Genomic DNA, 16,351 nt, shown 5'->3' on the forward strand with positions numbered 1-16,351 from the left:
TCCCTGTTTCTAATGGCACTGACTCCTGGGATAGTGAGAGGATCAAATGCATTAACATGTTATACTACATCAGGAGTTAGTTGGAGAAACAGAAGCCATGCTATGTACGCCAGGTATAAAGGGTTTTAACATAGGAATTAGTGGTTTACAGGATTATTAAAAGAGGTAGGAAAGACAAGGTCAAAGAAGGTGTCATCGAAGATAAAGGGAGCAGACACTGGAGACCTCAGCTTAAAGCACCGAGGTGGAAGATTGTCAAAAAGATTATTGGGGAGCTGCTGAGGTTTTAAAGAAGCAATGGAAATCCCCTCCCCTAGTCCCACCCTTGTCTGCTGTGAAGTGTGTGATTCTCATGAGTTCCTTAAGGAAGCTTCTGTAAATCTCATGCCTGCCCACATGTCTGGCCATGGGCAATAATGGCTTCTCGATCTCTTCTGCCTTCAAATTTTATGCAAGTTTCTCTCATTGACAAACTCTCAACTGGAACTGTACTAAGGCAAGAGTTCTGGGAAATGTGCTTCTCCGTGTCTCTTCTGGAAAGCACAGATTCTAGAAGGGGGGCAGTGGTGACACTGAGTTGAGGCGGGACAGTCCCACCCACATAGAAAGCACAGTGCCTGGCACTCAGCCAGAGCTTAATAAGCAGTGACGATCATCATCATCACCATTCATGAAGCAGCAGGGAAGCTGGGCCAGCGCTTAACTTTTGCTTTGTTTGAAATTACTGTTTTTCTTCCAGGATATCTGTCCACCATGCAGCCTCTTCATGCCCCTATTCCATTGTTCTACAGCCAAACAAAGAATTGGCTGTCACAATCCTGGAAGGCAACTGCTGGATAATTCAGTGGTATTGAAAATATATGAAGGGATTTATGGGTTAGTGATAACACCCCTCGCATAAAAGTGAGACTTTAGATCTAGTCCTGGCTTTGTTGCTAGCAGCTCTATGATTTGGGGCAAACTACTGAACTGTTCTTGTAACTATTTTATGGAAAAATCTAGAAGGCTGCAATATTGAGAAGAGCACATCAGCTCTGGGGTTTCTTCCCCGCAATGCATACCCTCAATCTAATCAGGAGAAAACATCAGACAAACCCAAAGGAAGGGACATTCTACAAAACAACTGACCAGTACTCTTCAAAAGTGTCAAGGTCAGGAAAAAAACAGGGAAGGACTTAGGAGCTGTCACAGGTTGAAGGAAAGTAAGATGTGACAACTAAATGCCAGGTGGGACTTTGGATTGAATCCTGGAAGTAAAAAAGAACTTCAGTGGAAAACCTAGTGAAATATGAAGACAGTTTGGAGTTGGCAGTATTGTACCAATGTTCCTTTCTGAGTTCTGATCATTGTAGCACAGTTATGTGGCTGTTAACCATGCTCGGGGGAGGCTATATGGGAACACTCTGTGCTATTTTTGCAACTCTTCTGTAAGTCCAAAATTATCCCCAAATAAAAACTTTAAAAATAAAAGACTGCTAAGTAGCATCAAGAGTGAATTCATCACTTTGCACTGGGCCTGCAAATGATGTAACCAGTCCTGTATGGAAGTATATGGAGAACTGGACGAAATATTTCCTAGGATGCAAAGCAATGAAGCAGCAGCAAAATGACTGCCCTGAGCTTGAGAGGGTCCTGGAAGGGGTGGAGACAGGAGCTGCTCAATCTGAATGGGACTTGGGGACAGGAATAAGAATGGCTGTGGGGCTGAGTGCAGTGGCTCATGCCTGTAATCCCAGCACTCTGGGAGGCCGAGGTGGACAGACCGCTTGAGCTCAAGAGTTTGAGACCACCCTGTGCAACATAGCAAGACCCCCATCTCCACAAAAAGTACAAAAATTAGCCAGGCGTGGGGGTGCACACCTGTAGTCCCAGCTACTTAGGAGGCTGAGGTGGGAGGATCGCTTGTGCCTGGGAGGCGGAGGTTGCAGTAAGCAGAGATCACTCCATTGCACTCCAGCCTGAGTGACAGAGTGAAACCCTGTCTCAAAAAAAAAAAAAAGCTTTATATATTAATAATATTTAAGAATTTTTTTAAATAAAATGGCTGTGGACCACTGACTGAAGACCAACTGGGACAAGGGACACACACCTCAACTGATGATGGCTACAGAAAACAACAAAAATCTGATTCTGATATCCTTTCCCCAGTTTGGAATTGTAGAAGACCCCTAGAACTTAGAAGTAAGTCTGGAGAAAATGACGGAAACACCACTCATTGGTATTCTCCCAAACAACCTCCGTTCGTGGCCCGGGTTGTTTTCTTGTCTTCCAAGGAAAGTCAAAAGCCTTGAATGACTAAGATTAAGTTTGCTCATAATAGAAATTAAGTAGTTATAGAAAAATAAAGTTAGATTTCCTGCCCTCCTGTGTTTGTGGACTGAGATTTGTACCTGTCTCACCCATCAGTTTTCCAAATTGATTTTACTAGCTATTTGAGATTACAAATTATTCTACGTTGAAGTAGATGAACATATTTTTTAGCATAGTGAGAAAGGTCATTGCAAATTTGATGCATTGTGAATTAAAATAAGTTAGGATGAAAGGAAGGGGTGACAAGTGCTTTACTCTTGCAGAAGAGTTAATATTGTCAGAACTCCATGGAGAAATTACTCCACTAGATATGGATATGGGCTATAAGGAAAACTGAAGGCCAGAGCCGAAAATCTTAGCTTTGCTGGCCAAAATGAAAATATTACCATATATTTAAATAAGTATTAAAGCATAAAAATGGCATGTGTTAATAACACTTAGATTTTACCCAGGAAGGACAAAGTACTGCCAAAGTTTTCAATAGCCTTATAATTATATCTACCATGGTAAATTACTGTTACTGGGTTAAACTATTCTGTTTTGCTTATCAAGGAAGAAAGTCAACATTCTAGCTGTGCCACATTTAATAAACTGGCTGAAAAATATGTGTCACATTAATATAAACCACTGTAGGTAACATCAGCAAAAGTTCTGTAAGATGAGTTCATTAAAAGAACAACCTGAGCATCTGTATTAAGGCATTTTAAATGTTTATTTATTGTATCTATTTGGGAAACAAAACATTAAAGATACATTTATTTATCAAAAATGAGTCTTATGAGCAGGCATTTAAAATGTTTAACATTGGACTAATACAGTAATAGTATTAACTTGTGAAATTTTGAAGACACAATTTTGAAGACACAATTCCACTTTAACATAAAATACAAAACACCTTTATAAAATGTATTTTGTCCAGTCAAATGTGATCCTCCCTCTTGAGCCCAGGAGTTCCAGATAAGCCTGGGCAATATAGCAAGATCTCCATCTCAAACAAAATGTGATTTTAAAGAAGTTATGTGTATATTATTCCTCTTCAAGCCATGGGAACCACTTTTAAACACTTTTTTTTATAAATAAGAGGCATTTTGAACTGTGCCATCCAACACAGTAGCCACTATCCACTTGTGGCTATTTCACTTTAAATTCTAATTAGCTAAAATGAGAGAAAATGTTAAATTTACTTCCTCTGTCTAATTAATTACATCTTAAATGCTCAATAGCCATACGAGCCTATTGGACATTGCAAATTTATATTTTTAATGTGGTATATTTATTTACATTTCCATCATGGTGGAAAGTTCTATCAGACAAGACTGCTCTAAATAACTTCTAAAAACCACTAATGTAATAAAGTTAGCAATAGAAGTCTTGAAATTTTTTTCTAAATGTAAAGTTTTGTTTCTGTGGTTTTGCTTCTAGTCCAGGGAATATTTCAGATACCACAAAATATAAACCAAATTCAAAATATGCATATACAATTTGAAATTTCTTCTTGCCTAGGGTCGAACTGTACTTTTCTTTTAAAAAAATTTTATTTTTAATTGACAAATAATAACTGCATGTATTTATGGGGTATGATGTGGTATTTTGATCTATGTTTATAATGTGGATTACTATTCTGTATTAGCTCTGTTACTAGTAGTTGTAAAAAACTTGTGAAACTGAACAGTGAATGAAGCCAAAGACTATCTTAGTTGGATTAAATCTGAATAATGGAAGTTAAAGCCTTTTTGCCCTTTATGGAAGATTTTTTTTTATGCAAGATTTTTTTAATTATCTACTTCTTTTTTTTCTTTTCCCGAGACGGAGTCTCACTCTGTCACCCAGGCTCGAGTGCAGTGGCACAATCTCGGCTCACTGCAGTCTCCACCTCCCAGGTTCAAGTGATTCTCCTGCCTCAGCCACCCGAGTAACTGGGACTACAGGTGCTTGCCACCATGCCTGGCTACTTTTTTTGTATTTTTAGTAGAGATGGGGTTTCGTCATGTTGGCCAGGCTGGTCTCGAACCCCTGACCTCAGGTGATCCACCCGTCTCGGCCTCCCAAAGTGCTGGGATTACAGGTGTGAGCCACTACACCCGGTAAATTATCTACTTTTTAAGACCTTTGTAGGCATAGCCTAACTTATAAAGATGTATGTAGAAGTACTATGGTTTTATTAAGCTGAAGGCAACTACTACAGCAAACTATTCAGAGAATTATTTTAAAAAATAAATCCTTAATATCTTTATAAAGCTATACTTCTATATTATAAACTATACATATATTTTGCTAAAATACTCTAAAAGTTGAATTTTGAAAAGATAACTTTGAAAATATGTATTCATTCTACAAATTGGTCACATAAAAATATCTTAAACTATCTCACAAGTCACAAAAATAAAAAGACTTGTCAAGTTTTATACGAATTATATTATTTGACTGAGTGGCTCCTTACTTTCTATTGAATTTCTTTCTCTACCTTATCAAAAAAACAAAGTATATTAATGTCAATTATCTAAGTCAAAGCCATGGGTCACAAGCCCATGAGGAGTTTACTACCATTCCCTCAATCAGAGGTTGTCATCAAATCCACAGATGAAACATTACGTATCTTCCTAATGTGATTCTACCTCCTTTATGAGCAGAAAAAGAGGTTTGGCGATTACTACAGGTGTCAATGCAAACTACTCTGCCAGTACAGCAGGCTGATTTTGGAATTAGAACTTGAGAAACTTACAAAATAGTCTTAACAGTTAAAAAAAAAAAAAAAGTTTGGCAGCTGCCGTTCAGGTGCTTGGGTCAGTGGCGTCGGGATCTCCTGGCTTTGACTCCTGCTCCAGCTCTGGAGGGGTCACTGCTGGAAGCGACTGAGACCTGGCTTCAGCCCTTCTGACGTCATGTCTAAGGCTACGGATACCGCTGTTGATGGAGGTCACACACGACTTCCAGTCTCTTCCATTTTCCGAGAGATCACAAATTGGGTAGTTTTCTTGGAGGAACTCTGATGGTAAAGACCCAAGACATAACAGTTACTTGCAAATCACTTCTCAGAGAAATCAATTCATTCAACTTTCATTCTACTACTGCGACTGTGAAAGGATCATTAACACTTTAATTAAACACACATAGGCTATAATCATTATTAAATTAGCTGGACAAATCTTTTAATCTAAAAAGAGAACTATATGAAACAGCACCATGCTTAAATCACAATAAAGCAACAATCTCCCATGACCTTGCCACATACCAGAATAGAAATCCTCTGCTGCCTTGAGTACCCAAGGTCAACTTTTGTTACTCTCAAAAGTATCAAAGAAGCGTCTAGCACGTCACTCATCAGCTCAAATAGAGACATGCTAAGCCTCTGCAATGAACAAGAGGCTGCAGTGTCATCCTACTTTGAGAGGGAAGAAGCTGTAACTGCTAACTTTTTTGGTACTGCTGGATTTATCTCTGATAAAAGGAATAAGGGTCTTTAGATCTTGCAATTAGAGGAAGACTTCTGAAAGGGAAGGTGACAGAGTAACATAATTCAAGGAGCACTCTTAGAGAAAGTAAGAAGACAGACAAGGAGAAAGGTAGGGAAGAGAGGTGTTTATTAGAAGAGCAGGGCTGCCCTCGGACACATCATTAGGTAATCAAAGGCCTAAGTGCCTTTCAGCCCTTGGAAAAAGATCTGGTGATCCCTACAGGTTAGCATTAGTTAGCTACATTAATCTCATTTGTTTTTCAATAGGGTTAATAGGCTAATAAATGAGGACAATGCCATAAACATCACATATATCCAAATTTTTTAGCAAAGCATGTGTCAAGGTTAAAAGGCTTCCGTACCCAAAGGACTAATTAATTAATGGATCAGCGGTAGCCTGGAAAAAGGTTTTTGTGGTATGTCACTGGATTCAGTATCCCACTCTATCCTGCTAACATTTTATTAACCAAAAATGAGTTCTGGAAAAAATGTTTGTCCCAACTACTCACAACAGCAAAGCTGGGAGGGATAATTACCACACTGGAAGACAAATACAGCGCTTGCATAGCTTTCAACAGGTGGCAACAAGGAGCCTAAATTGGCTGGTGTTTCCCAAAATGTGTTCTCTGGAACACTAGTCATAAAAGAAGTTTCTTGGGGGAAAAGGTTCTAGTTGCGCAAATGGGAAATGCTACCCTCCGCAGCTAGTCACCACTTGGGGATTTAAGATTGCACACAAGCATATTCAGGGTTCTGAAAAATCCCACAGAAAAGATAAGTGGAGCCTCCTTTTGCTGATTGAAATGTTACAGATGCAGCCGTGTTGGTGGAACGCATAAATGAGGGAGGTGGCAGCGCATAGGACAACAGAGGGTCAGGGGTCAGGACTGGGAGATTTAGGCAGGCTTCATGGGTAAAGGCATTCAGTTTTGAAACTGACAGTCGGCCAGGCGCAGTGGCCAGGACGAACGGATTGCTTGAGCTCAGGAGTTTGTGACCAGCCTGGGCAACAATGGTGAAACCCCGTCTCTACTAAAAATACAAAAAAATTAGCCAGGCATGGTGGTGCATGCCTGCAGTCCTAGCTACTCGGGAGGCTGAGGTGGGAGAATCACCTGAGCCCGGGAAGTCGAGTCTGCAGTGAACCATGATCTAGCCACTGTACTCCAGCCTGGGCAACGGGAATGAGACCCTGTCTCCAAAATAAAAGAAACTGACAGTCAAGTGAAACCCATCTATTGACTGAGGCCCTTGGAGTGCTTGCTTAAGGTCTTTCCTAGCCGTTTGACTTTAAAAGTATTTCATGAGGCTGGGCACAGTGGCTTATGCTTGTAATTCCAGCACTTTGGGAGGCTGAAGCGGGTGAATCGCTTGAACCCAAGAGTTTGAGACCAGCCTGGTCAGCATAGTGAAATCCATCTTTACAAAAAAATACAAAAATTAGCCAGGTGTGGTGGCACATGCCTGTAGTCCCAGCTACTCGAGAGTGTGAGGTGGGAGGATCATTTGAGCTCGGGAGATCAAGGCTGCATTGAGCTGTGATCATGCCACTGCATTCCAGCCTGGGCAAGAGTGAGACCCTGTCTCAAAGAAAAAAAAAGAAAGAAAGAAAAGAAAAGAAAAAAGGTATTTCATGAAACACCTATTAACATTTAGCTGAATTGGAGAAACACAGTTCAGGAAATGCTGACCTACACTGACAAGATATGATGCAGCAAAAAATATATTTATATTTATATTTTTCCTACATTAACATTAAAAGGTACTAGCAGTATAAATGGTAACAGCCTGAATACTAACAATAAGTACTGGATAAATGTCAGTTATAGCAAGAAAGATCTAGAGGTCTTAGTTGACCATAAATTTTATTTTTTTCTATTTTATTTCATTGAGACAGGGTCTCACTCTGTCACCCAGGCTTGAGTGCAGTGGCACAATCACAGCTCACTGCAGCCTCAACCTTCTAGGCTCAAGTGATCCTCCTGCCTCAGCCTCCCAAGTAGCTAGGGAGTAGCTAGTAGCTAGTGTATGCCCAGCTAATTTTTGTATTTTTTGTAGAGACAGGGTTTCGCCATGTTGCCCAGGCTGGTCTGGAACTCCTGAGCTCAAGGCATCCTCCTGCCTCTGACTCCCAAAAGGGCTGGGATTACAGGCATGAGCCACTGTGCCCGACCTGACCGTAAATGTTTAAATGGCATGTGACATTTTCGGCTGCATTAACAGCCTAATAGGTTGTACTATTGTATCCTGGGTGTATTTAAGCACATCTGAAGGTAGTCATTGAATCAAATCATGAAGGATCAGGGCAACACGTATGTGAGGAATTCTGGAGGGAAATGTTAATATTTCACTGAAAAAGCATAAGGCTTAAGAGGGAAAAGGTTGGGTAGAACATTTCCTCCCCAACCCTCATGTTACCATGTGGAGAGACCTCTATGTTGGAAAGTTGGGATGAATGGGACATGTACGATTGAAGAATAAAGCTGCTATTTTTATCTTCACCTGCCTGAATGGAGCAGCCCTCTCTCACTCGGTTCTGAACTTAAAAGGGAGTGTCTTTATGATCTCCTAATGCTCCAGCAGGAAGTGACAGCTGTCATTAACTGCTTGAAGGCCCAACCTCTGAAAAGTGATTGGATTGACCCTGTTTAGGTAGAGAAGGGATAACCAGGACAAAAGTGTATGATTTACAAGGGAAGGTACATTTTGAGTCACTAGAAGGAAGAACTTTCCCATGAATTGGAGCTGAGACAGCGGGTGCCTCATCAATGGAAGTGTTCAAGCCCAGGGGAGGTGACTCTGTCAAAGCTGAGATAGGAGTTCCTGCTGTGGGTGGGATGTTGTATTAGAGGGCCTGTAAAGTATTTCCTATAGCTAAGATTTGACAGTTCTGCAATATAAAGACATGGATGGGGGTTTAAGGAGTGAGGGTTGTTCGCTAATTGCAAATCTGCCTACTAACTTCCTCCCTATCAATTAAGAGCCCTTAAGTGATACTGAACTCTCATCAGACAGCATCAGATAATAGTTATTTATATGAAATCAACACCTTTGGCTCCTGGACAGAGTTACCTTTGACTACTAATTTTCAGAAGCTTTTCCCTCAAATAACAAAATATTAGGGTAAGAAACTATACTAGAATAGAAGAATAAATTGGTTTATTCATTCAATGGGATATGAATCAGTAGTTCAAATGTATGAACAGATCTCAAAAACATAATGTTGAGTGATTTTAAGATGTGCAAAAAGATTACTGTACATCCCCATTTATGTACATTAAAACAACCAGATGCCGAGTGCAGTGGCACACACCTATAATCCCAGCACTTTGGGAGGCCAAGATCGGAGGATTGCTTGAGCCCATGAGTTTGAGGGACTGGAGTGCAGGGTTGCAGTGAGCCACGATCACACTACTGCACTCCAGCCTGGGCAACAGAGCAAGACCCCATCTCAAAAAAAAGAAAAAATAAAATAAAATAAAATAAAATACAGAACAATATTATATATTATTTATGGATCTATTAACATAGGTAGCAAAAGTATAAAACATGCATGGGAATGATATATCCAACTCCAGGACTGTGATTACTTCTGGGGAGCAGGAGAGGGGAAAGGGATGATGAGTTGGAGTGTTAATTATATCAGTGAAGCTTTCATTATTTTTTTAAAACAAAAACCTGGAACACAAAACACGAAATGTCTATTATCGGTGATGGGGGTAGACAGGTATTTATTATATTATTTTCCATACATTTCTGTATGTTTGAACTCATTTCGAATGAAGGAGTACTTTTACAAAAATCATATTAGGGGTCATAAGCCCAGTCCTCCCACAAGTGCAGGTCTCTTCTCTCATATCTGGTCACCCAGCCTTTGCTCTGACTCTTCCTTCTCCAAGCTCATTTTATCTTTATATTAAAGTGAAACAGACTTTCTTGTCAGCTTCTACTCCTTGGGGCTGGCTCTGCCCCTTGGGACAACAATGACTCTACTGTCTTCTCTCTGCTGAAATAACTCAAATGATTGCCCTTCTACAAAGCAATAGAACTTTGAGTCTTAGGAGAAATTTGTTAAAATCTGCCCTATGTGAATAATACGTCAAACTCATGCTGAATATTTGTTTACTGCAAAAGACATCTTCCAGATTTTAATAAAATTCAGTGAGAGATAAAATGATAAAAGGCTTAGGAAAATATTTTTCATCAACTTTTAAAGAAGTAATCTTTTCCAGATATTAAAGAACTATAAAAGTCACCTATTTTCCCCCACATTAAAAAAAGGTAATTGGAAAGACACTATTTCTTCTATAAATACATTCATTTCAGAATTGCCTACAAACTTTTTTTTTAACCATAAAGTAAGGGAAATTGAGTTTAGTTTTTTTGCCTAGTAGGTTAGCTCAGTGATGTTCAAGTTGCAAGTTGTAACCAATTACTAGGTTGTGAAATCAGTGATAGCAGTACTTGAAAGAAATGTAATGGAAGAGAAAACACTGGAATGTAACACTCATAGAGTAAGTACTGTTTGTGAAATTTTTGCTTTGGTTTTTAAAAGTCACACTCACACAGAGGCATGTACTGTGTCACAATGTAAAATGTAGTTCTTATTATGGGTTGCAGTAAAAAAAAAGTTTGAAACAATTGGGTTAGATGATAACAAATGCTTATAAGAGCTGCTAGCTGAAAACCAGGTTTCTTTATTCTGAAACACCAGTGCTGTTCAAATTTGTTGGCTATGAAAATGTATGATATGAAGGTAGGAACCACCTGAGATCAGAGCTACATCTTTGCTGGGTGCCAGTGACACAAGTAAGAAATATTTTGCTTCCGCTTTGTCCAAATTTAAGATTTCACAGGAAATTTTTAGAAGCTTTATTACTTCATTTGCATATGTCAGAGACTATATTAGGCTAACGTGCACAAAAGAAACTTAGCAAATTAACCTTCTGTGCTATTGTTGACACTTCTGCAAATGGATGAAGCCCTTTAGCTTTGACCTTGCTCCTCAGTCAATGAAGGTGTTTTGAGTTTCCATACCCCTGGCAGTCCATAGCAGGGAGCCACAGTCAATAACCCCTTTCCTGTTCTAGTAAAGCCATTCAAGACAGAGCAATTAGCCCTAAGAACCCAAATGCAGAGAGAAATACAATTCATGATCTTGCTCCTTGCTGTACTCTAATGAGGCACTCAGTAATTACTAAGTTCCATTCTCCCCAGAACAAACACAACCTGAATGGATTCTTCTTTCTACCCTTCTCTTAAACACAATTGGCTTTTATTTATTCAGACATACTCTATGTGTAACAAACCTCGGAGAGCACTAATCTTATTGGGGTCAAGGGCACACAGGCCATGCTTCAGATTGCCATAGACGTTACTTTGGACCAGGACATCTTTTGTGAAGAGTTTCTGAATAAGGTATCTAGCCGACAGGCTTGCGCAAGACTTAGTTTTTGCCAAAGTCAGTACTGAACATGGCATCCGTATATTTCTCCATGGTCTTCCAAAATAGCCTAGAAGCAAAAAAGAAAGATGTCAATTTTCATAGCAAATGTTAGATTGCATTATTTTTTAAAAGCTGAAACAGAAACGTTGATTTTTCTCAATTGTTAGGCTCAAGAATTTGAGAGGTTAAAAAATTTAAGGCCTTACATTTTTATTTATTTTAAAGACAGAGTCTTGCTTTGTCTCCTAGGCTGGAATGCAGTAGCACAATCATGGCTCACTGCAGCCCCAGCCTCCCAGGGCTTGAGTAATGCTCTTAGCTTAGCCACTCAAGTAGCTGGGACTATAGGCCCACCCCACCACACCCAGCTAATTTTTTGTATCTTTTGTAGAGACAGGGTCTCACTTTGTTCCCCAGGCTGGTCTCAAACTTCCAGGTTTAAACGACCCTCCTGCCTCGGCCTCCCAAAGTGTTGGGATTACAGGTATAAGCCATCGTGCCCAGCCTAAAGCCTTACGTTTTTAGTGGATTATGAGACAGCATGAGAAATGAGGTAGAAATCACTGTGATTACACATGCTACCATGGTTCAACAGGAAGATTTAATATACTGTTTGTTACCTTTTAGGATACAAGAAGTTTTAAAATTACATTTAGTAACAAATTCTAAGTAATTTAATGCATTGTTTCCCTACTTACAAGAAGGACTTTTTCAAAAATAAGCTCCATGATTCTTCCTGAAATACTTATAATTTTTAAAATGTAGGTTTTCTATTTAGTATTAAATTCATTTTAAATCAACACACTGCTGGTTCACTTTACATATTGTATCTTAGATATCTTATTTGAAATGAAAAATAAGTTTTAAGACTTTTCATTTCTCAACTCTACAGCTTAATCATCATCATCTCTCTTCAGTCCATAGTCTATTCGAATTAACTACATTTGAAAAATATTATATTTTACATATAATAATTATTTGTTAAATATACTAGAAAAATATAATTATTATAAGTCAGTAAGTATATTCTTCAACTTAGAACATCCATCATTTAATGGGTGGCAATAAAAACTGTTGAATCATCCAGATTCAACATTTAGCAGGAGAGATTATTTAGAAACACATTTAATGGGTCCAAAGACTTAACTCTGGGAGATTTACCTAGTAATATTTATCAAGGGTCAGGAAAAAAAGGTTAATACTCTTTAACCTGGTAATTCAATTTCTAAGAACCTAACCTAATAATCCAAAGTATGGAAAAATCTATCTGAATGGGCTGGTGCAGTGGCTCACACCTGTAATCCAGCACTTTGGGAGGCTGAGGCAGGTGGATCACCTGAGGTCAGGAGTTCAAGATCAGCCAGGCCAACATGGTGAAACCCTGTCTCTACTAAAAATACAAAAAAATTAGCCGGGCATGGTGGCACACATCTGTAGTCCCAGCTACTCAGGAGGCTGAGGCAGGAGAATCGCTTGAACTTGGGAGGTGGAGGTTGCAGTGAGCCGAGATTGTGCCATTGCACTCCAGCCTGGGTAACAGAGCGAGACTCCATCTCAAAAAAAAAAAATCTTCTGAATGAAGATGGTTTTTTTGCAGACTGATTTATAATTCCCTTCCAAAAAACCCTCAAACCAAAACGACAACAACAGCAAAAAGAAACAAAGTGGGAGGCAATTAAATAAATTGGGGTGCACTTAATTAATGGAATGCTATAATCCTATTAAGAGCAATGATTATGAAGATTGTAGATTCTTGAGGAAAAATAGATACATATTATAATATTAGAGAAGGAGAGTAATTATATGGGAATCATAATGTTTCAAAATGTTCACAGGAAAAAAAAACTGAAGGAAAATGAAAATGCCCACAATAGTTTTTTAAAGTATTTTGATTGTGGGAGCTTTTTTCCCCCTCTTAAAAATATTTTCCAATTTTTCAAATAAAATGGCATAACAGACTCCACACACACTGCAGTGACTGCTTGGCTCACAGTGGGCTTAGTCGCCCTGTCCCCTCGTTATAGCTGAGTCAGGGTTAGAGATATGTGGCCCAAGTTCTCACAGTCTTGGGGCTGCTCTAGCTCCTGCCTGCCTGACGCTCGCTCAGTTCTTTGCTTCTTTGAATACAGGAGGTATTCAACTGGTGACTTGTGTTGTTTAATTTATCCAGTCTGTGTCTGTAGTGTACAATCTTAACAAATACAGTAGTTAGATTACTTTTACAATGGAAGAAATAAAGCTATATCATGTCAATAATTTCGTTTGAAAAGGATCCCAGGTAGTATTCTACTTAGGGTTAACATGGGAGCAGGGTACAGACAGAATAAAGTCTTGCTACTTCAGATATCACTCATCGGTATGGGTGATGCTAAAGTCCAGCGCCCTGGGAGGATGCATTGGGAAGCACAAGTGGCAGGTGGCACAGTCACTACTGAACCACTGCCACTTGACACCCATCAAAGCAGGAGGTGCCTTCAGCAGTTTAGCAGCGGGAGCACAATGTTCTGAGAGATGAGATTCACGAATTCGTGCCAAAAATCCTACTGCGCACCTGCAATGTGCCAGGCACACAGAGAACAAGAAGTGCATCTCAGCTGCAGCCCCTCCCCTTCACCACAGAGGACAGTGCCTTATCAGAACTCACACAGTCCAGTGAGTCAGCAAAGAGCCACTTTCCGTAGGAAAAATAACAATCAGTCTTAGAACCATGTGTCTATATATTTCATTAACTCATTAATAAAAGACATTAAATTATTTCACTTTCTGATGAAATTTCTCAAACACACATAAAAGTAGAGAGAATAGTACAATGAACCCCATAAATGCATCACTCAGATTCAACATTTATCAGCAAGAGAACTTATTTAAATATAAGTTTTTAAAAAAACTCACTCCATGCTTCACCAGGTTCCTCTGGATTATCAGTGGAAGGTTCTCGCATTCCTTCAGGGATAGCATTACTGTTTGGCTGCAAGTTCCTCTTTTCTCTCATTTTGGAGTTATTCATTGGCTGAAACATCCAAGAACAGCCTTCACCACCATCTCTGCCCCTTTGGTCATTTCTATCTGCAGATGCCGATGCAACACGGTTGGTACGTTTTTTATTTTTGCGAACAGTTTTCTGTTGAAACACAAAATCATATCCGTAAACAAAGTCCCACAGCAAGAAAATATGTCTGTGCTCTACCACCTACCAGGCCCACCAGGTTGCTAGGGAAGCAACTGACTCTTTAAAAGGTGGGCTGAAGCCATAGGAATACTGTGTGTCGCAATACTATCTGGAAAGAAGGAAAGGGGTGGCTTCTTCCGCAAGCTGTCATGACCTGCTGCTCCTTGGAGGATTTTGTAGCTCTGTCTAAGGAACTCAATGAGAACTGCTGGTACAAATTAGGCACATAATAAACATTTCACAAATAAACAAAGCAGTGAGTTTCTTGGGGATGACCACTTTTTGTTTCTCATGTTTTGTTTGTATTCTTTTTCCCTAGTGGAGCTCAAGTCTGGCTGCCCATTTGAATGACCTTCAGGATCTGTAAAAACAAATGGTTGTGCTGGGCCCCACCCTAGGCAAATTCAGCCAGAATCTCTGGTGATGGGAGTGGGGAGCTCAGGCGTTAGTAACTATTTTTAAAAGTGTCTCGTGTGATTCTAATATGCACCCAGGGTTGACAACCACTGCTCTGGGTTAGTGCTTCTTGAACTTTAGTGTGCACACAAATCACATTGGGGACGGGGGTTGGGGAGGGTCTTGCTAAAATGCAAATTTTGCCTCTGAATCAAGACCCTGCATTTTTCACAAGCTTGCCAGTGGTCTGCTGCTGCTGGGCTGTGGACCTACTCTGAGTGGCAAGGACCTGTCCCATTCCTAGTCAAGCACATAGCAGGCACTTGGCAGACACTGCTTCTCTTCTGACACCTAAGCAAATATGCAAATTACCATTTTCCAGGCAGTGTCTTAATTTTACATTCAAATTGTTTAGGGTGCAATTTTTGAAGGCTATAAAACGGAATGTTAAAAATAAGCAGATTTGGTTTCAGGCAGATGGTGCTTGAGCTATCACTGAAATCAACCCGTTCACCAGGGAAACATACGCTCAGCTACAAATATTCTTGGCAAATTGTTTCCATAAACTTACTCTAGAGACACAGGAGCGACTAGACGTGGCCAGAAGAAAAGGGGGTTGGTGGAAATTAGGAATTGTCATTAAGATACATGTTTCATCAGAAGACAACAGATATGACACTCTTCCCTAATGGCCCGGTTGTGGTAAAACAAACAAAAATCTCTAATGTACTTTGAAGATAGACTGGAGGAAAGAGAAACTAGATTTCTGTTACCACATAACTATATGGAGTGTAAAATATCTGTAATCGTTTAACGTCATGACATGAGTTTATTTCACCAAGTTCCATCATCACTAAAAGTGAACAAGTAACGAAGTGCCTGCATTTTCCCCTGCACCTCCTCAGCTACCATTGAAACAGCCAAGGAGCACACAGCTGGCTCCTTTTTGTGTTGCTCGGTGAGATACTGCAAAAGATTTGCCAAATATCTTTGTAGCTGAAACTATTTTCCTAGTATTATCCTTGGCTTCAAATATACTAATTATAGCACTTTATTTTATTTATCTTTAGGATATTTTTATAGAGCATAAATATCAAAAAAGTAAAATAAACATGCAGTGTGCTTTTGAAAGAACATCCCATGCCCCCTAAGTTAATGAGAATTTTAGCACATGGCCTAAAGAGACTGTGCCTCATGCTATCAGTTCTGAAACTGTACACAGTACAAACTCAGGTAACAGTTACCATATTTAGATGAAAAATAACTTACTGGAGTACTCTTGCCTTCAGAACATAAACAGTAGATCATAGAATTGATACCAGAAATACAGTCCTGCCAGTCTTTTCCATGTTCATGCAAATCACAGGTGGGAAAAGTTGTTGCCAGATATTCTGCAAACAGCAGAAAGTATTCACGAAAATTAGAAAAAAAAATTAACAAACTAATGAAAAATTTTTTTCTTTAAACACTGACTTTTAGATGGTTACATTGTGTAATGGTGAGCACTCTGGTGACTTCTTCTCTTTCTACTTCTCATCCTTTTCTCTTATTCTTTCTGAGAGTTTAGAAATTCCAC

General features: G+C 39.4%; 1 protein-coding gene across 5 annotated transcripts in view; it reads right to left on the bottom strand.

Annotated features, from left to right (window-relative positions):
* Positions 3,004-16,351, bottom strand: part of BEND2 (BEN domain containing 2) — a 57,956-nt gene continuing 44,608 nt past the window's right edge. For 3 of the 5 annotated variants that reach the window (XM_017029266.2, NM_153346.5, XM_011545447.2), the window contains 4 exons: positions 16,045-16,166; positions 14,103-14,331; positions 11,074-11,277; positions 3,004-5,296 (listed from right to left, as the gene is read on the bottom strand). In XM_017029266.2, the coding sequence (XP_016884755.1) occupies positions 5,082-5,296; positions 11,074-11,277; positions 14,103-14,331; positions 16,045-16,166 (770 nt within the window). In that variant the 3' untranslated portion in view covers positions 3,004-5,081. Of the gene's footprint in view, positions 5,297-11,022; positions 11,278-14,102; positions 14,332-16,044; positions 16,167-16,351 lie in introns of those variants that run through there. The other 2 variants (NM_001184767.2, XM_017029267.2) reach the window with 1 other exon arrangement.

This window comes from Homo sapiens, chromosome X (genome assembly GCF_000001405.40).
Source record: "Homo sapiens chromosome X, GRCh38.p14 Primary Assembly".
NCBI lineage: Eukaryota > Metazoa > Chordata > Mammalia > Primates > Hominidae > Homo > Homo sapiens.